Source organism: Homo sapiens, chromosome 13, assembly GCF_000001405.40.
Source record: "Homo sapiens chromosome 13, GRCh38.p14 Primary Assembly".
In the NCBI taxonomy this organism is placed as follows: domain Eukaryota; kingdom Metazoa; phylum Chordata; class Mammalia; order Primates; family Hominidae; genus Homo; species Homo sapiens.
Window position 1 is genome coordinate 101863158 of NC_000013.11, and position 21291 is coordinate 101884448.

The following is a 21291-nucleotide window of genomic DNA, read 5'->3' on the forward strand; positions in this document are numbered from 1 at the left end:
AGTTTAATATACTTTTTATGATAAAGAAACCAACCTGTTCAGAGAGATGAAGAATAAAAGATAAAGAATAAAATAATTTCCATTCTTAAAGGGGCACCTGTGTGTAACTAGATGAACTTGGTATAGCTTTGCCTTAGTGCTCCCAGGGAGAATGAAAGGCTCTTCCCCAGGATGAGCAACCCTCAAATGCTGCCAAGGCCCTTGGTCTGCCTGCAATGGATGTTGATGGCCAGTGATGGCCACTAGAGCTCAGTTTATTTGATTAAGCACATGCACTGCCTGGTAGCAAACAACAACAAAACAAATAAACATAAAACCTGGGGGAGGAGGAATAGGAAGCCCTGCCAATGTCTGAGTAAATAGTGAACATTTTTATGAGAATCGGCATGTAAAGGTGTTACTCAGAGACAGGACAGGTGCTAGGGATGGGCAATGAATTCACGCAATACTCCATGAGTGTGTACTTACAGGTGAGGGACATGTATGTCTTTGGGTGTGTTACTCTTAGGGAAGATTAGAAAGACTCTGAAGGATGATAGGTACCATACTGATAAAACAGAGCAGTTGTATTTCTATACCCTAAACTTGAGCAACGAAGAGAGGAATAAATTTCAAGAGGAAAATAACATTGTTCCACCTTGTTTTGCTAGAATTATAGATCCTGCAAGAAGATGAACAGTTCATGGAAGCATGAGGTGGGTTGCTCGGATGCTTTTATGCCTGGGTGCTCTTGGAAAGCTAAGGACAGACGGAAACACAACTCAGGACACATCAATAAGAGAAGCCTGCTGGCACAGAGGAGGGCAGGTGAAACCACCTTTGTAGAAGAGGCTCATTTGAAAATGCTCCTGAAAGATATGATATCAGAACACTATCTTATGTAGAGTGGATAAGACTTTGATGATCTTGAAAATGCTTACTGAGGAATACATAGCATTTATCTTTCTTTCCTTGATTAAAGAACTTTCATATATACATATTTATCCTGTATGGATAGGTAGGAGAGGTGATGCCAGCCCACAGAGATGACCAGTCCCTATTCCAGAAGTTCTGAGTTGTTGCTTAAGTGAAGAAGTATGCTGGTCTGCTTTCAAACTTCTGTAAACTTCAGCTTAGTGGTAGAACAGTTAGAAAATCCAAATATTTAGTTTCAATGCCTGAGTAGTCCATTTACTGATTTTCACCAACTCTGTTACCATCACCTTGGTCTAACGTTATCACCGTCTCCCCCAGATACCATTGCAGCAATGCTTGTTGTGTGATTGTCCACAGTTGAAATAGTAACTTTAGAATAACCGGCAGAAGTGAGGGAGGGTGACCCTTACAAACTGTTGATTCTCGGGCCTCCCATTAGACCCACTGAACTAAAATATCTAGATGGTGATCCAAGGAATCTGTACTTTTCTTGGCTTTCCAGGTGATTCGCGTGAGCCCTAATATTTGCAAAACATGGTAACCTTGAATTTTCCTGGTTTATTTTTAAAATCAACATGAAAAAGGATTATATTTCTCTCCACTTATACAATCTGGTTAACAGATTCAGATGAGATGCTAATTTCAGGAGAACACTGGCACTTACGACCGCGAAGATGCCTGCACCTAGAACATGGAAGCACTGATGGCACCAGGAGGAAAATAATATTCTCATAAATGCCAGCCTGTGATAAAATACCAATAAGGAATCTCTATGCATTTTATGTAAGATTACCTTATCATTCAGAAAAATCAATCATACTAAAACCAGAATTGTAAACCCCATAATTAACTTGAAGGATTCAAGAGAAATCATGTAATCTGACAGATGAGGGGGCAGACTAGGAGAGATTAGGAAGTTTTAACACAGGTATTGGTTGTCAGATCCAGGACCCAGGTGTTCTGAATAAAGCCCAGAGATTTACTCATTGTATCATCAGTCTCTTTTACGTCCTTCTTTTTCTTCTCCATCTTTCTTATGCCAGAAACACATTCTCACTTCAACTATCCTTTATCCCTGCCCTGATGATGAATGACATTTTCCTTTCATTACCAGTTTTTCCTTATTGTTTACAATTTACATTCCAAACCTTAGCTTTCTACGGAAGATTTTCTTAGTCTTTCAAAGTCACAGGCTTGGAAAACAAACAAGCAAACAAAAAACTTGACTGCTTCTCTCAGCACTAGAAATAGTGATAAGTGGTTAAAGTACATTTTTGTTCATAAACATCATTTTAAACTGTCTAATTTTTTGGCAGAATTATTACTCTGACAGTTTCTATTCTGCGTCCTTGTAGCCCACACTGTACCTTCAATCAAATGGCTTGTATCCGACATTAAATCTCTTGTAGCACAATATCAAGTACCATATTGCAATCATTAGGACCACAAAAGAAATAACTATCATCATATTGAAGAAAAGATCCCCCAGAGAACAGGTGCCTTTAGCATTGGAAATGGGAACTTACATCTCAGTCAAGTACCTTTTATCTGTCTCCAGAAGGTGGAATTATCTGACACATTAAGTATCTTATTTGGATAGCAAAGGAGTATGAAAGTTACTTCCTGAAATAAAAATAGAGGAAGATACACCTCAAGTCAAATCACCGTTGTGATATTCGTTTACCAGAATTCAAATTAGATGACCTGAGTATTTTATTGACTACTTCTAAACCTATGGATCTTCAAAAAAATCAATTTCATATTAGACTCTAGTTTACACTGCACAAAAATTAAATTAACTTTTTAAAAAATTAGGATAAACTTAGAATGGATGACTTCATTTGTCTGATTTAAATCTCCATTAACTTCTTTCTTTAAATCTGAGCTTGACTGGAGCTGTCATTTTTTCAAAAATTTACTCATCTTAGTTCAAAACTTCTTAGTTGGGTTAACAACGTTTGTCATGGCTTTTAAAACTTAAAGCTTAAATGTTAAATGTAATAAATATAAAAAAAATTAATACCCATAATATAATATCAAACTTTTTCTTGACAAATTTTCTATTATTTTAATTTTAACTCAAAAATCTTTAAAGGAAACAGATTATGTTTGAAATTATACTTCTCAATAATTGCACTGAAATACAGTTTATTTCCTAGGTAACAATTCCCTAAAAGTTTTTCATTACATCATAATGTGTTTATAACTTCTTGTTAGAAAAGGTGTCAGACCATATTATGAAAAAATGTCTGGCACATAAAAGCAGTGATAATAAAACAGTTAAAAATGTAAGCTAATGAGTCATACTAACTATGCTCCAATCTTATCTTTTCTATCTACCACCTGAGTGACTTTGGGCAGATTCTTAAACTCTCTGTATATCAGTGTCCTTATTTTAATAATATTTGCTTATAAAAGGTTATTGGGATAATTAAATGAGCTAATACAGGTAAAGTGCTTAGAACAGTGCTAGACAGAGTGGATTGTACAAATATCATCACTATTGTTATTGTATAGATATAGCTATTATTTTATAGGATAATAATTGCTATATTGTGCTCTATATTACTATTTTAGTAGGCTCTCAGTAACAAATTATGGAATAAATACTTGCAGATAATTATTTGTACTGAAATATTTGAAGTTCAAATTTTTTTACATTGAAATAAACAGAGCAGTTTAATTAGGAGGTACTGATATAGATTCATAATCGCTTTTGGTTTTTATCCAAGTCCTCTTTCCAAAGATGGCTAAGACATACAGTGGCCTGGCCTAGGCACAGGAGATCCCTTAGGGTAGGGGCTGAGTGAACTGTGTCTCTTACCAGACTTTGGGTTCAGAACAAAGAGTCAAGGATGGGAAGAGGAGAACACCAACATCTGTAAGTCAGAGAATAAAGCCACCAAAGGGGAGGCCTGGAAGCCAAGCAACTGGAGAATCAGAAGGAAGAAGGGAGAGGAGAGAACAACGTACCCAGTAACAAGCCTTAAATTGTTCCCGGGACTCACCCTGGGCAAATGCTATTGCACGCAGTGACCCTCATGAGATCTGATTTCTGCATGCGGAAACCATATTTAAAATGCAGGGGACTGGACTTGGCAGTTAACACATTTCTTGTTTCTATTCCTACTGCTTAGCCTGCACCAAGCATAATCAATACTTTTATTTTAGGCTAAGACACATACTCAAAATGATATACCCTACCTTTAAAAAAGAATGGCATACATTTACAACCACATGACAAAAAATAAATAAATAAAAAGCAACTCTCTCAGCAGCACAAAGATAAAACAAATATTTCAATTTCCCTGTCATCAACATATGTATCAGAGTACAGCAATGTGATACAATTACTAACAGAAAGATAGAACTAGAAGCTACAGTAGACACTGCATCTAATGATGTTTAGGCCCCTAAAATATTACTTGGGAAGAAGATAAAGAAACAAAAATAACAGAGCAAGTTCCAAATCAAAAAGATTGAGCTGTATCTGAAAATAAAGCATCTCTAGAAAGTAATCCTTTTCGTATTTAATTTTTTCTAAAGGGAGCATAGGGAATTCTAGCTTGATCCTGCTGGCAACATGCTGCATATTCGTCTTGTGCGAGAGAACACAATTTGCATAATGTGGGACCCAGTTCTCTGTGTGGGAACACCCTTCAGGGAACTCAGAATAAGAAGAGCCAGCACTTTTGAGCTCAGCATGAAGGGAATCCACAGCGCAGACTTCATTTCCCTGTGACAGGATTTCCCAAATTGACTGAAGAAAATAGATTACATTTTCTGGGAGGCCCCCTGGAGAATGTTTCTGTTTAAGACACACACACACACACACACACACACACACACACACACACACACACGCGCACACACACAATATGTGTATATTTATCTATAGTTTTGTTGGTGGTGATATTTAACAATGACAGAGTTTCAACGAATTTACATGAGGATGACATGTAAGAGCATATTTTAATGCATTTAAGACTTTATCAATTTTTGCTCAAGGGATAATAGAAAAAAGCACCTTTAAGTCTTTACTGCTTAAACCTGTGGCAGAAATAAATTCTAACTACATTATATGCATGAATACAGCATATCTGAGTGCAAATCGGTTGTAAATAGAAAATATTTCAGAAGAGGTCATATGGCTAGAAAAGTGCTCAGCTTCCAATAAATATTACCACAAAACACAGAGGCTTGCAAGAAATACACATTTCAATATTATAAGTAGTTATTTTTTCAGTAAAATATCCACACAATTTGAATTCTTACTTTAGAAAATACTCTCCTTTTACTTTTCTCTTTTTTTAGAATTCATATTGTTTCTTTTAAAAACATTATAAGAAACTCTCTAAGATAAGTGCATTTCTAACTAGAAATACAAAAGATTAGATTCACGTGTATACTAGGTTATTTTTTAAAATATGGCAAAAGCACTATTTAAGACATAGTATTACACTTCCTTTAGATAAACTCATATTACTAAACACTGGTGAATAATAAACAGCTTCTAAGCATTCTCGCAAAGATCAAATACTAAGGCAAAAACTGGCAGAAACAACAGACATAGAACTTTCTTTTTGTTGTTGCTGCCATTGTTATTTTACATGCATTGAACGAATGGCCGAGATCTTTGGCGTCTTACTTACTGATGGGTAGAGGTAACCTTCTCCATTCATGGCTATATACAACCCTGTTTTCACTCCCTGGATGGCAACAACACGTAGTCCCACTGGTATGAGGTTGAAGAGTGCTGTGAAGATAAACATTGTCTATCATGAATGGGCAGGAAGAAGCAGGGCAGAGTGTAATTTTTTCTTTCTGATTTATTTTATTTAAGAAACATCATCTTTGCCAATACTTTCTAGAAATTCCAATTAAATAACTTATATTTTGCTTTATAAGTAAGAAGTTTCTGCTATGGGTAAAATGAGTACTTCAGCTTCAACCTTTAAATGTGAGCAGTCTTGCTGACAGCATTCTGAAGGGCTGATGCGACAATAAACAGAACCAAGCCTGTAATCGTGCCTCTAGAAACACTGTCTCTGACACCATTAGATACCAAAAGAAATCAACTGTGAAGTCTCTCAAAGAGCAGAATTTTAAAAGTCCAAGTCGAGTGTTTATTCTGACCCTTCGCACAGAAGGTGTGATTTGTCATTGCAATGAGGTCAGGCCAGAAGTTAAACAGGTGATTCCAAAACTAAATGACGGTGGTAGAACCAATATGATACGCCAGCGAAGCCAGGAAAAGATGTGCACCTGCCAAGGAGCTAAATTTAGAAAGAACTAATCAAAACTGAATGGCATGCAAATGTCAGAGAGGCTACTCATTTATGTTTCCATGTTTTGTTTCTTCTCTGTTGATAAAATGTTAAAAGCATTTTATATATTTTTGCATAGTGCAGATAGCAACGTTATAACATTAAAAAAACTTAACATCCCTTTAATGTATTTCCATGGCAGTGCTGCATGTTGAATGTTTAGTAGGTTTTCTTGCATCAGTCTTAGAGATAACTGCTTGATGATTTTGGAGATTTTATTATAGATACATTTGTAAGAGAACTATTAATTATTTACAGTGAGGTTATCTGCTGCTACTCAAGTCCTTCTTAACTAAGTCTAATTCTAAGCAGGACAGAACAGGAAATGAAAGCACTAAAATAGTGATGTAAGTGTAAGTACAGTATCCAAACTCAGGCTCTCAACTGTATTGCACAAAACCAAGTCATTTGAAAAATGTGGGCAATTTGGACTTCATTCCAAGGGTCTAAGTAGTACATAATTAAAAACAAACTTTACAAATTGTGTTATATTTAATTCTCAGGGACATGTTTCCTCCTAATAGGTTGAAGAAAATTACACCCTCTCTTCTGATTATTACAAGCTACTGTTTTCAAGATCCCAAGATGTCTGTGCTACACAAATATAAAAGGAAAACCTCAGGCCAGAGCCATGAATATTATCCCTGGAAAAATACTCAGGGGCATCTATGGTTAGTTGGATATTAGTTTCACTACGTAAACTAATATCAGATTTTCTGCTATAGGATTTTAGGGGATTATGTTATTCTTATGAAAGAATTAGTTTTTTTTCCTCATTTCCATTATTTAATATTAAATATAGATGTGGAGTTGTTGAGTACAGCTACCTGTGCCATTTGGCGACTCTCAGTATTCCTTCTTGGTGGGAGATGGCTATATTCACTCTTGTTTAGAACACCTGAACTGTACCATCTCCCCTTACATCTTGAAAGAATGGGCACCATAGAATAATTCCTGATTTATACACAAAATTTTGGAGGGAAAACCATAATCATATGACTGTCCACGCAAGGTACACTAACTTAATCAATTCAAATTTAATTATTCTAACTTTCCTCTTCTAACTTTCACACACTCAGAATGATATTTGTAGGTGCCACATATTTTATATAGGCCAGGTAGTATAATTTTAGAAAACAAATAGATCATGAATTCACCAAAATGATGTGGTTATGGGAAACATAAAAATTATATAAGATAGTTTAAAATGATCATACTGAAAAAATACTAGTGTTTTTCCCTTGTGTTTTGGTTGGGACCTGAATTATAAAATACAAGGTATTGGCCGGGCGTGGTGTTATCCCAGCACTTCGGGAAGCCGAGGCGGGTGGATCACCTGAGGTCAGGAGTTCGAGACCAGCCTGACCAACATGGTGAAACCTCGTCTCTACTAAAAATACAAAATTAGCCAGGCGTGGTGGGGCATGCCTGTAATCCCAGCTACTCAGGAGGCTGAGGCAGGAGAATTGCTTGAACCTGGGAGGTGAAGGTTGCAGTGAGCCTAGATCACGCCACTGCACTTTAGCCTGGGCAATGAGCGAAACTCCATCTCAAAAATAAATAAATAAATAAATAAATACATACATACATACATACATACATACATAAAACAAGGTATTATAATTTACAGAATGATAGTGGAAAGTGAATGCTTATGTACACTAAAATGTGGAGAACCATTCAGAGCTGGCCATGATGGAACCGGTACTAGTTAAAAACACAGATACCCACATTAATTGAGATATAATTTTATTTCTCCACTCTCTTTGCTTCTTACATAATTATAAGGCAATGTCACAAAGCCTAGGGGAGTAAGAATAATGGAGATGTTTTTGTGACTTTGTTCATTCATGGAACATTCTAGTTCTTCATATAACAGTGATTTTCAACTCTGGCCGCACGTTAAAACTAGCTGTGTTCATAACATAGAATGGCCAGGCTCAACCCCATACCTATTAAATCACAATCTTTGGGAACGGGTTTAGGACATAAGGAATTTTTTTGAAAAGCTCCTCAAATAACCCTAATATACAACTAAGGACGGTGAGAACTGCCGTCCTAAATCCTGTGGGGTGGTGGCCACTGAGTGATCGAAATATTTTACACATCAAGTTACCAGGTTGAGCATTTCTAAGGTGAGAGGGACTTTTGAGGTTTTAACATTACCATAGTTAATAGTGTATTGATATCTGTAGAGTCCTATTCTGCTTGTAGTAGCTATTGTCTGTCAGTAGGAACAATGAAGTTTAAGAGCACAGAAAAAATCCATGGCATCCCCAAAAGCAAAGTGGGGGGAAAGAAAACTCACCCACTAATAAAGTACCGTAGTTCATGGGGATGCTGACATTTAGAAGAACTTTAAATGAGAGTGGTAATGAGGTTACCTAGGTGCTCACTTCCTTTTGTGAAAGATCTTTCCATTATTATGGTAGTCAATAATAAAGCAGTTGACTTGCTACAGTATTTTCTCCACCAGAACCATTTACCCATCATCCACAATTTTTGTGCTACTTTTCCTTCCCAGAGATCTACATATATTAGACTGGAAACCCTTGGAGAACAGGGGCACCAACGTTTGCCTACCAGTGGGCCTTTTTCCCCTCTTCTTAATTCATCTGAAATTTTTAACAAAGGCAGTTTAGCAGGATGGTTCTGTCTTTTTTTCATTCTAAATATCCATATTTAGTGTGGGAAATGTATTGAACTCAATTCATGAAGATACGAAAGTTCAAGCCCTCAATTTTGTTATTTAGTGACTTTAACAGTGCTATCTGGGTGAGTTTTTGGTTTTTTTAAAATTATTTTTGCTAGTTATGGATAACTAACCCATGGTTTGTATTCAGGGAGTCATAAAAAATGGAAACATGTTTATGAATGATTATTCATAATGTTTATGTTCAGTATGTTTATGAATGATTATTCATAAACATGTTTCCATTTTTTATAACTCCCTGAATACAAACCATGGGTTGGTTATTCATAACTAGGAAACTATATGATTATTACATCACCTCTGTCCTCACAACAAAAGAGCTGTACTCTAAGTAGGACCTGACAGCCTTTCTAAAGCACATTCCTATTTTTAAAGAATTTTTCAGTGCTTACATTTTTCATAAGATTCATGAGACTATTGAAATGAACTAGAGAAAAGAAAATGTCTTTAAATTCATCCTAAGAAACACCGTTTTGCAATTTGCATAGGCCAGAGGACATAAAAATGAAGTTAATTAGTAATTTCCATTACTTTTATAAATCTGCTACGATTCTGCCAATTGTATTAAATTTTATAGTCATATAATTTGTAGAACCTTTTGAGGAGGGAATATTGATTTTACCCACTGTTTTTCTTTATTTCTTTGCAAATGTTGAAATAGTAACAAAACTAAACTAACTGGCTTACAGTGCACTTGAAATGCAATATAATGTCTCAGAAAAGCTGTGGACCAGAACTTTGCACAGGAATTTGAGCCCCTCGAGTGTGGGCATTATGATTTTCTTCTGATTTGCTTTTACAAAGGGGATCCTGTTTCATCTTTCTTCTCAGGACTGTGTCTCACTAGCATTTAGAGTGTCAGAAGAAATTTCAAGATTCGTTCTGAGTTTTTGCTCCTTCTACTGCAGATACAGAAGAAAAAAAAAAAACATATATTTACAGAACAGAAGGTGGAGTGTTTTTTAGTATCTCAGCTTTCCAGTTTAGTCTTTAAAATTATTCAGATAACCAGACCTGTATGTGTGCACATAATAAATCTGCACTTCCATATTTAGAAAGTGCTTATTCAATTCTGAAGCAGTATGCTTTTAAAAGGCAATGTCTAATAGACACTTCTCAAAATAATATTGATTCCTATCATTAAAGGTAACCAATTTTGTTGGCTCTGCAAAAATTACACAAAGAAAAAATGCTAGAGAAAAAACACATAAAACCTTTGTTTGAGTGAAATTATTTTTCACGTAGTCCAATAAAGCAATATATTTATGAAGCTATGGTGTATGTCCTGTCTTGAAAACTTTTGTCATAAAATGGATGGCATCAGTCTTTAGCCTGATGAATCTTTCAGAGTGTCATAGCTCACCTAGTGATCAGAGTTATGGGAAACTAGTTATTACGTTCTAATCCTCCCAGGCCAAACAAAATGAGAGAACACTGAAGACATCAGAAATTATGAATCGCTAAACTTTGTGACCTACACAACAGTAACACGTAAGAGAAAGGAAATGGTTTTTGTCAACAAATGGGTAAAGAGTTTAAGGGGAAAAGAAACTGAGCAGAGATACATGTATTAGCCTGAACCATAAGAAACTGACATCTTTTGTTGGTCAAAGATTGTCAACTACCAATAATCTTTGAAAGTTCAAACTAATAACAAAAGCTGCAAAAGTACATGTTTGGCATAAAACGCCTCCTCTTTCTTCTGTAGCTGAATTGTTTTACCTTCTCTTTTCCTATATCAAAAAGGAAATAAACTAAAAATAAACCAATAAACAAACATAAAAAGGAAAAATTTAAAAATAAAAAAGAGTGATATGAGACACAAAGAGAGTAAAGAGATTAGAAATTGACACGGAGGACAATGTAGATATACACAACAATTAAAAAGGAATTGAAGAAAAAATAAAAAGTGAAGCAATGCACAAAATACAAAAAGTGAACACGATGGCTGGAAAAATAATGATATTTCACATGGCAAAACGACATGTAAAAATAACCTATTTTGTATCGCTAACTACTGCCAGAATCAGTGTTACTGGCAATTTGATCACTGGAATTTAAAAAAGGAAGTGCTGAATTTTAAATTGAGCTGATAAAAATAAATAAAATAAAAATAAAAAAGGAAGTGCCTTCTGATTTGATTATGTGTATTATTCAAACCCTCACTTCTTTTCATGGAATGATGTTTATATGTGAAGAATAAGACATACATTAATGAAAAAATTCATATCTATTTTTGATCCACCGATAATGTTTCTTATGATTAAGTATTTCTAATAAAAATAGTTTTGCTTTTCACTAACTCCCCCAAACAGTAAAAAGTGTGCTTATTTTGGAACTAATATGCTAAATTAAAAATGAATCAGATGCCAATATAAACAGAAAATGGGAGAGCAAAACACAGACAGTTGAGTAAGGAGAGGCACCAGACGGAGAAATGTTATACATAAAGAAATAGGAAAAAGAACACAGACATTTATACAGTGGAAGATGTGTAGCTTTTTAATTAAAAATGATCACAGATGCAATTCTGCAAACACTTTGCACAATGAATTTCAAAGTACACAACCTTTATGTTTTTTTCTATAAGAAAGTTTTTTTTGTTAAATGCAAAGAATTTTAAATTATATTTCTATTATGTAAAAAAACAAAACAAAACTATTCCTTGTAGCTTTTGAGTTTCCACAGGCATCGTTAAGAACCTCAGAGCCTGATAAAATAATACATCCAAAGAAAACATGTAATTAATTTTTACCTAAATACACTAGTGTACTTACTTAACTTTTACAATAATAAGATTAAAAGTAACAGTAATTTTCTGGGTATGATAACTGTCTGAATAAAAAACAAAAATAGTAACATAATCATCTTTAAACCATAGGTTTCTTTGGTTACTCCATTAATATTTTCATCCACGTAGTTTAAATAAAATTGTAAATGGCATCCTAGTGTGTAACATTTGTAAAGATGAACCAACACGACCAAACATTTGCAAATGAATCTTAAAAAGTCATTTAAGTAGCAGTGTATCTTCTACCAACTATGTAACTGGTGGCCTGAGGTTGTCACTTACTAGAATTAGTGCTGTCATCCTTGGTTCCATCGAGAGCTCCATCGGGGTGCATTTGCAAGTAGTAGCCTTGCCTGCAATATAACCTGGTCACTATACCCTTGAGCTGGGGATCTGAAAGGCAAACATAGTTATCATAAGCCTCACAATGTGTCACCATAGTTTCCTTTATCTTTTCTGTTTCTCTTTCTTTTTTCAGAAGAGGACATTTTATACAAGTAGCATATTTTATTTTGTCTCTCAGATTCTTCTGTGTTTTATCAAACCTGCAGTATTCTATTTATAGAAGGTAAAGGAAATGCAGTAGTAAGCCACAGAAACAGGCTGTTTTATAAAACTGGTATATGCATATTTAAATTATTAATTAAAACTATTAAACTAATTAAGCTGTCAGTTTAATTATTAGTTTAAACTATAAACGAATTATTATAAACAATATTATCATTCATGATGGCAGGACAAGAATTTTGCAAACTGGTGACTCTCAGAAATTTTATTAAAAGGTTTTTTAATGGAGTTCTCCTTTTACTTAAGTTGACAAGTATTCCCAAAATTAAAAACAAACAAAACAAAAAATACCTATATTTTAAAAACATTCATACTAACATATGATACATATTCTTAGGAAAAGCCCCAATTTGGAGAAAACCCCTGGATGTGTGAAGGGTCATTGTTACTTCCATGGAAGTATCTGTGCTGCTTAGACATATTCACAGGAAAACGGAAAACTCTACTTGTGAGCTCAGGGGAAACACAGCAAACCCACGCATATGAGGTCAGCTCTGAGGCAATCAAATAGAGAAATTAGACAAATTAAACTGCTAAACTCATTAACTTGTATAACTAAAAAGGACAGTCAAGTTATACAATATGAAATCTGATTCTTTGTCAACGGGCATTGAGATAGAGGGCAGTGGAAGTTTATTTAAACAAAAAGGGAAATCATGTGGTAATAGATCCTCATTTGATGATTCATTGAAAAGACATCCACTCTAGTAATCCAGTGCTTCACAAAGAGTCAGTTGTACCTTTGAAAACAAATATTTGCATGTGGTTTTGCAAAAGCCATCCCCATCTCAGGGATAGATTGGATGTGGGACATCATAATCTTCACCATGGCAACTGGCATCTCTCCACAACAGCTGAATGGGCCATGCTAATGCAATCCGCTGTCGAAACAGTCGGACGTTACTGAGTAATGAAACCTAGCACCTTATAATCAATAGAAAAATTGTGGTCTTGCAAATAGGTGAAGACAAAAAAATTTTTTTGAGAGCTATCCTTAAGCTCTTTATTAGTCCTGAAGAAATTACAAAGAATTTCAGTATCTATTTCTATGCACATCATTTAAAACTGATCATTTGAGACGTGACTCCATTGTACCTAGACTTGCTTCATAGATGGTATAATATTGGAAAAATCCTTTTGGAAAATAATGCACGAACAGCAGATCATCACAACATCAGTGTGACTAGCTGTATTAGAATATGAAAGCTTTTAAAAGAGTAGGATTTTAAAAATAAATATCTAAGTGATTATTGCATTGCGTTACATATGTTCCTTATTCTGTAGTATATAACTTCCCAAATCACATAATTCTAAGATATGCACTAGTGGAAAAAAAATACTATTGTGCCTAAGTCTGCCCATCACCTGGAAGACCTGACTGGGCTAAGTACTAAAGACTTCTTCCTTAGTTTTGCTGTATTTTATTTATGCTCTTCACTGAAAATATGTAGCATGGAAAAGAAGCGAATAAAAGCAAAAAGAGTTAAAAACATGAAAAAGAGAATTTTTTATTATTCTCTTGTCAAGAAAAAAAATGAGAATATTAGTGATTTACAATTTTTCTGTAAAACTTTTATGTTCTGACATCACTTATTCCTAAGCAGTCTCCTATTTGAGCTACTCTGTCTTCTGGAGTTGAATTAACTAGATCAGGCGAGGCAGTGAGAAGCCACCTACCCACCCACTCACACGCGCCCTCATGCTTATACAGAGAGATTTGGGATTATGCCTCATTTTGGGTGAGGGAGCACAAATAAAATGTAAAATTATGTTTTTCTCCTTTAACTTCGAGAAAATACAACCAAATTGATTTTGATTCATCTGGTTACATATTGTTTGACGTTTTTCCTTTTTAGAAATCATAACGCCATTGATTCTATTCTTCTCAGGTGCCAGGCATTATTAGAAGCACATTCTATTATTAACTCTTGGATCCTCACCATTACCTTACTTAATAGAAGCCCACTTGGAGGATGAAGAAATCGAGACACAGAGCAATTAAGTAGTAATAATATGACAAAGGGTACATAACCAGTAAGTTAACAGCTGGAATCTGATCACTCAGCTCTGGACCCTGCCCACTTAACTGCTACCTAATGCAGCCTGTACAAGCGGAATAATTGAACTAAAATGTCTTCAACACTAAAAATAAAATGCAAATCAAATCTCTTTAAAAAACCAAAACCAACTTGTATTTTGAAGATTAACTGCCACTGTGTCTAAACCCAAATCCTGCTAGCCAGAGCTGAATTTGTGATTACAAAGCAGTAACGCAAAGGTTAGAAAGGATCAAAGATCTTGAAAAACCTCTTCTCAGATCCATCTCACTTTTCCATTGGCCACATTTCCAATACATCTCTGCCCCATTAAAACCTTACCAAAATTGCTAGTTCAGTACTATAAGTTTAAAACAAATGGGTTGCTCAATTCCTTTTGATGCATCTTCCGCATCTCTCGCTCTTTTTCTTTTTTTCTATTTTCACTGCCAGCCCCTCATTACCTCTCTTAGGTGGTCTTCCCACCTGCAGTTTTCCTTTTCAAATCCTTCATGTCTGGAAATATGCAGTGACTCTTCACCATCCACTGAGTTACGTATGCACCTTACCGCAGTAAGGCCCTATCTTATCTGATGGCTCTGCTCACTATAGCCCTTATCCATCCCCTGCAAGTAGCCTCACCTGGGTCACTGTGGGTTACCTATAAATATTCCATAATTTCCCACATCTATCCTGTTCCCTTAACCTTATCTGTCTCAAATATGGCCACCTGCATTAAAATGCCCCTTTGCACATCTGTGTAGGCATGCACCCACATGCACACACCTTTGCAGAGCTGCCTCCTTTTCCTCCTCCCCACTCTGGTTCTATCAACACGTCCATTTCCTCAAGAGCACTTTCCTGAAACTTCAGATGACATCAAATTCTTCCTTTGGACAATTTTATGGTAATTTTATGGTATCATAGGTGAATGTGTAGCAATTTATGTGTTCCTGGTTAAGTAGATTTATAAGTTATATTATCTAGTTTACCTAAAGTTAGAATAGTTTAGGGGGAAAAATCCCATAGAGAGAATAAGGATTAGAGGTGATACGAATAAAATAAGCTAAAATAAACACAAAACAAATAACAAAGATGAGATTTTTCTTTTACATGGATTTTGTGGTTAAAAACAAGTATAGAAACTAGTAACAAAAACAAATGATGATCTATTGAAATCTAACATGAAATTAGCCAAAAGAGTTTGAAAATGTAAAGACAATCTGAAATATAGTTACTAGGATAAAAAATGAAACTTCATCCTAAATGCACATACCTTCAGATATAAAAGTGTGGAAATATTACATGTGTAAGACAAACATGTATTAATGTAATATGTAAAAATACATGTAATATGTAAAAAAATGCTCATTTTTTTCAATAAACTGATAGAATAAGAAGGCTTGCATGATATTTTTCTAGTAAACGTTAAATATAAGGCCTACAAGTATTTTTGTTTTAAATACTGATGTATCCCAAAGTCTTACAATACAGATTCCCAATGAATAATTGAAAAATAAATATCTAAAGTCCTACACCTATATTTTAGCTAGCCATGCAAAAATGCAAAATACTTTTTAACTCATAAAATTATTAGTTCTTTATTCTCTTCTGAAACATTCGTGTTCAGAATACCTACTCTGCTTAAGAAAATATAAAAACTTAGAATCTCTTCTTTGCCTGTCTTAATTCCCCTTTTCCTCCAGTTTTGTCTTTTATTTTCTATTTAGTGTGCCTGATAATTTTACTAAAAACGTTTTGAAGATACTCCTTGCACAAAACTCTGTGCTAACAATGATCTGTGATATTAAAATAGAAATAATGAAAACTAATGTGCATACATATCAAGAAAAAAAGATGTTTCATAATATATTACCCTCAACACTCAGAACTGAAAGAAATGCAAATCAGTCCGACTGCCTTCAGATTCAGGGGAAAAATACACAACATTTTTAATTAAAACACTCATTCTCTTAGAAATGAGTTCAATTAAATTAAACACCGTCATAAATGGTTTTCATGCAATGGGAAGACTGGCGAAAGAAGAATCAGGATAACCAATCAAATGGTGTACTTATTTTAAATTATGATTTAAATGGAAAAATGTACACTATGACATATGTTTTTCTGTAGCAAATACATTAATGTATATACATCATACGAACTATGTTTATATACACATAAATCTCAGTACTAATTGGTTATCAGTATAGGTTCTTAAACGTAAGTTCTCTTCTATTAGCTATGGAAAAAATCACACATTTTTATAGGGTAAAAACAACTTTTGTAATGTACATTTTTGCAGAAAAAAATGTGGCAGATCTAATTAGATTTTGGCACTCCCAGTAGCAGAAAATAGTATTTGAATAATTTGCTTAAAGATATATATTATCATATAATCCAACCACAAAAATAAACTGTGTCCAGGAACTTTTCCAAAGGACTGAGAAAATAAAGGTGGGATAGGGACACTAAGGAAAATGATAGATAAAATTAAAGGCATGGGAAAATTTGCTATCTTTGTTTATCCCTTAAGATTACATTGAATTTCCTTTATGGATTGACCCAATGCTACCTCGAGAACCCCTTCCCTCTAGGAACCTGGTTCCAGTTACTTCAGAGTGATTACCCAACTCACGGTCCCATTCCAATGTACTATTATGTGTGTTAAATTTTAACACTTCTTCCACAGGCTAGAATAGCTCTCCACCACTTCTCTGCCTATCAGAATCCTATGTCTGCAGGCACTAGAGATAGCATCTGGCATTAACAACAAACAGGCCAGGCACAGTGGCTCACGCCTGTAATCCCAGCACTTTGGGAGGCTGAGGTGGGCAGATCACCTGAGTTCAGGAGTTCGAGACCAGCCTGACCAACATGGAGAAACCCCATCTCTACTAAAAATACAAAATTAGCCGGGCATGGTGGCACACGCTTGTAATCCCAGCTATTCTGGAGGCTGAGGCATGAGAATCGCTTGAACCCGGGAGGCAGAGATTGTGGTGAGCTGAGCGCACCATTGCACTCTAGCCTGGGCAACAAGAGCAAAACTCCATCTCAAAAACAAACTAACAACAACAAAAATAAACAAATGAAAAACCCAAACAGCTCTTGCCCTCAAAGAGTTTGCTGTTTATTGAGGAGAGGAAAGAAACTATAATATGGCTTTATATCAATCAGCCATGTGTTAAATTAGCGGGTTTGCATGTCTTTCTGCTCTGCAAATAAATGATAAATCCCTTGATAATTTGCATATTACTCAAAATAACCTACCACGGTGCTTGCCACAGAACAGATGCTCAAATAGTATTTATTGAACCGAATTCACTTTCTGTTTTGTTTTTAAAGTGGCTATATATCTATAAATGGTTTTTGAGGCAAAATGAATTTTTTATATTGTATTTAAGAGTTGGAGAAAAGCATGCTTGAGCTAAAGATAAATGTGGGTTTTGAAACGGAAACACAAATAATTTTAAGCTTTTTAACTACTGTAGCTAAAACATTTCCTCTAGGTAAAGTATATTAAGAGAATGACTATGGGCAAAGACTTTTTCTAGGGGAAAATGTTTGAAGAGATCATTAAAGGGAAGGGAGACTGTAAGAATCCTGCTTAATACTTGACCCTTATCTCCAAGGAACAGACTTAACAGGAGTATCTTGGGATTCCTAGCCCAGGGTTGAACTCTCACTAGCTTTTTGAATATCCAGTGTATATAAACTACAGAAGGAAGGAAATCTTTGGAACTCAGAAAAGCACTCTTTCCAACACTATTTTCTAATGAAATTTTCTCATTGCAAAGTTCTAACATATTAGAAACACATTGGAGCTCTCATGGCCCACACAATCCAGAAATGGACAATAAAATGGCCAAAATATCAAATCTATTGTCCCACCTTATTTATTCATCACATACAAAGATGAATAATTGTATGATAAAACATCGTGTGCTTTGGCCTACTAATTTATTATTTTTAAGTTGTAATTACATATTTTCCAAATTAAATCCTAAATATCAATTATGTAATTGCAAAATACAATCAGCAAAATTCTTGTGCATATTTAAGTAAGAAAAGAAAGAAAAGCACGTATCTTTTGGTGATAACATTTGGGATCCAAGTCAATCCATCACTTACAATCACATCTAGAAAAAGCTTTCCTGATTCTATATTGTGCCAGGAATTCCTGATTTGTGAATGATTTCATTTGCTCCTTCCCAGAACACAAGCGCACCAGCAAAGAAGCTGTATGCTCTGTCTGAGGTGCTGGTGTGTCGCTCAAGTGCCGGCTGTGGCACTGACAGATGTGGGTGTGTTACTCATCTTCAGACTCCTTGTTAATATGTCAATGACACCAAACACTAAAAGACACTTATGGTACTTTCAGGAACTTTTATGTATCCTTCTATTAACATAAACATTAGTAAGGACTACACTGCCAGCTGAGAGAGTACATATGTCCCAGATTATGAAGCAAAGAGGATTTTATGTAAGTTCTTAAATGCTATTGTCATCTAAAGAGGGAAATATGAGATAATTCAGTTTAATTGTTATCTAAATACTATTCTTTTTTTAACTGTAGATACAGTATTATGTTAAATTTAATACACAGATTTAACATATTCAGCTAAAACACTACGCAGAATGATTCACTTCTCCTTTCGGAAACTAGAAATAGGATTCCCTAAATTTAAAGAATCTGAAGAAAAACTGCTGCTTGATTCATTCACAGAATTTTCCACAGCCAGTTAAACCTATAGCAGACCGTATTAATTTGTTCTTCAGCTGCCATTACATTGTCTGAAATACAGAATTAGCATGACAAAAAGTAGATGTTAAAGAACCAAAGACATCTGTCGAAAAAAAAATGCATTTTTATGTAACAAAATTCAGAATCAAAAGCCTTTCAGGGAAAGTTATATTGCATCAGGATATTGCATTAACCATGAAAACAAGAATTACACCAGATGTGCAGTTTTATCTATTTCTTCAGATAAATAGTAGAGCAGTAAACTGGGAACTTTGTCTGAAAAAAATATATTTTCTGTTTTTTTTTTTTATACATTTGCTTTAGAGCCAGGAAGCATTTCTTTAAATGTTTTATGTTAAAAAAATAAGCAGTGGGTGAATTTAAGAAAATAACTGCACATGGCAAGGACTGATCTATTCATCCTCCAGAGTTGAGGCTCATATATTTAAGAAGTAACATTTTGGAGCAAGAATATCACTCATCTTGTCTGTTCATATCTAGAACTATTTAGAGACCTCCACCTAATGGGTAGATAGTTGGAAATGATAGTGATAAACACTTTAAAGCTACTTCCATTTAAAGAAAGGTACAAACATCTGAGCTCTGTTCCCTTCTGAGTTTCTTTTCCAGACATTTGTCTTCTAGCTGCTTCTGGGAGGAGATGGGAGTGATAAAATTTTTTTTTTATTAATAATCCTCTCTACAGAATCTCCCAAACAGCAAGGGAAGGAGAAGAAAAGAGGCGGCATTCAGAGATACGATACCTATGAATCCAAGTAGACATCTACACTTTTAACCAGACAGGAAAAACATTTAAACCAGATGTTATGTACAGAAAGAAAGAAAAGAATACTCCTGGAAATCAGTGTGAAAATTTCATGAAGGATACTGTAGCATTTGCTCTTGAATTCAGTTGCAACCAGTTATATGCATCTCTAAAACCCAAAGTTTCTCCTTATTTTATCACCAGGAAGTGATGCCTCTTGACCATTTTTATTTATTAAGGCTTAAAATTTTAGAAAGGCAGTTCATAACATCACCCTTAATCAATCTTACAGACACATCTATCTCTAGAATTCTGCAACACAGCCACAGAAATACAACATTTTACATTGGAAAACAGGAGGAGAAATCCTTTCTATGTTTTGTTTAAGCATGTTTTCAAATGCCAAGATATTTAACTTGCTCCTTTAGGAGGCATTTACTGTGAATCTACTTTGTTCCAAGCGTTTTGTTAGGAGCTGAGAGGAATTTACAACCAAAGCAGATTGCTGTCAATTGTCCACATCATCATTAAACCAATAGCATGATGTGAGTCCTAAAACAATGAGGCTGTATAAACAGAAAGGTAATATCCAGCGCTAATGATAACAATAGTAAGAATAATAGCTATCATTTCCTGAGCATACACTTTGGGCCAGAAACGACTCTAAGTGCTCTTCTTAAAAATACTAACTCATTTAATATGCATAGCGACTTTTTGAGCTAGGTAGCATTATTATCCTCACTTTAAAGATAAGAAAATGAGGCCAGGTATGGTGGCTCACACCTGTAATCCCAGCACTTTGGGAGGCAGAGGCTGGCGGATCACCTGAGGTCAGGAGTTCAACACCAGCTTGGCCTACATGGTGAAACTCCATCTCTACTATAAATGCAAAAATTAGCCGGGTGTGGTGGCATGTGCCTGTAATCCCAGCTACTCTGGAGGCTGAAGCAGGAGAATCAATTGAACCTGGGAGGCGGAGGTTGCAGTGAGCCCAGATCGCACCACTGCACTCCAGCCTGGGCAACAGAGTAAGACTCCATCTCAAAAAAAAAAAAAAAAAAAAAAAAAGACAAGGAAATGGAGGCAGAGAGTCACTATATGATGTGTGCAAGAGCAACACAAAAAGGAAATGATGGCGTGAATGTGAAAGCCTCTGTGATCTGGCCTCTCACGCTGCCCAGGTACCACTCAGCTGTGCTCTAGGTGGACATCCCAGTGTTCTCAGACCACCCCTGATACAAACACACAGTGAAGGGGCACTGACAGATGAGAGGAGAGTGACAGACAGGGTGGGCCTGGGGAAAACCGTGTAAGAAAATGTTTAATCTGAAGATGATGACATGTCATTTTCAACAATTTGTGGGGCTGTCACAAAAACAGGGAATGGAATGATTTAGTTTTGCCTCAGAAGACAGAATTAGGACAAATA

The 21291-nt window shown here is 35.3% G+C and overlaps 1 protein-coding gene across 22 annotated transcripts in view, besides 1 other annotated feature; it reads right to left on the minus strand.

Moving 5' to 3' along the window:
• Positions 1 to 21291, minus strand: part of FGF14 (fibroblast growth factor 14) — a 691640-nt gene that overhangs the window by 152354 nt on the left and 517995 nt on the right. For 21 of the 22 annotated variants that reach the window (NM_001321947.2, NM_001379342.1, NM_001321948.2 and 18 more), the window contains 2 exons: positions 12029 to 12139; positions 5568 to 5671 (listed from right to left, as the gene is read on the minus strand). In NM_001321947.2, the coding sequence (NP_001308876.1) occupies positions 5568 to 5671; positions 12029 to 12139 (215 nt within the window). The remainder of the gene's footprint in view (positions 1 to 5567; positions 5672 to 12028; positions 12140 to 21291) is intronic. The other variant, NM_001321939.2, reaches the window with a different exon arrangement.
• Positions 12962 to 13256: a silencer, noted in NCBI's record as "tiled region #11112; HepG2 Repressive DNase matched - State 9:DNaseU, and K562 Repressive non-DNase unmatched - State 24:Quies". NCBI's record gives its function as "represses a minimal TATA promoter and a strong SV40 promoter by Sharpr-MPRA in HepG2 and K562 cells {active_cell/tissue: HepG2 | K562}" and the evidence as "EXISTENCE:reporter gene assay evidence [ECO:0000049][PMID:27701403]".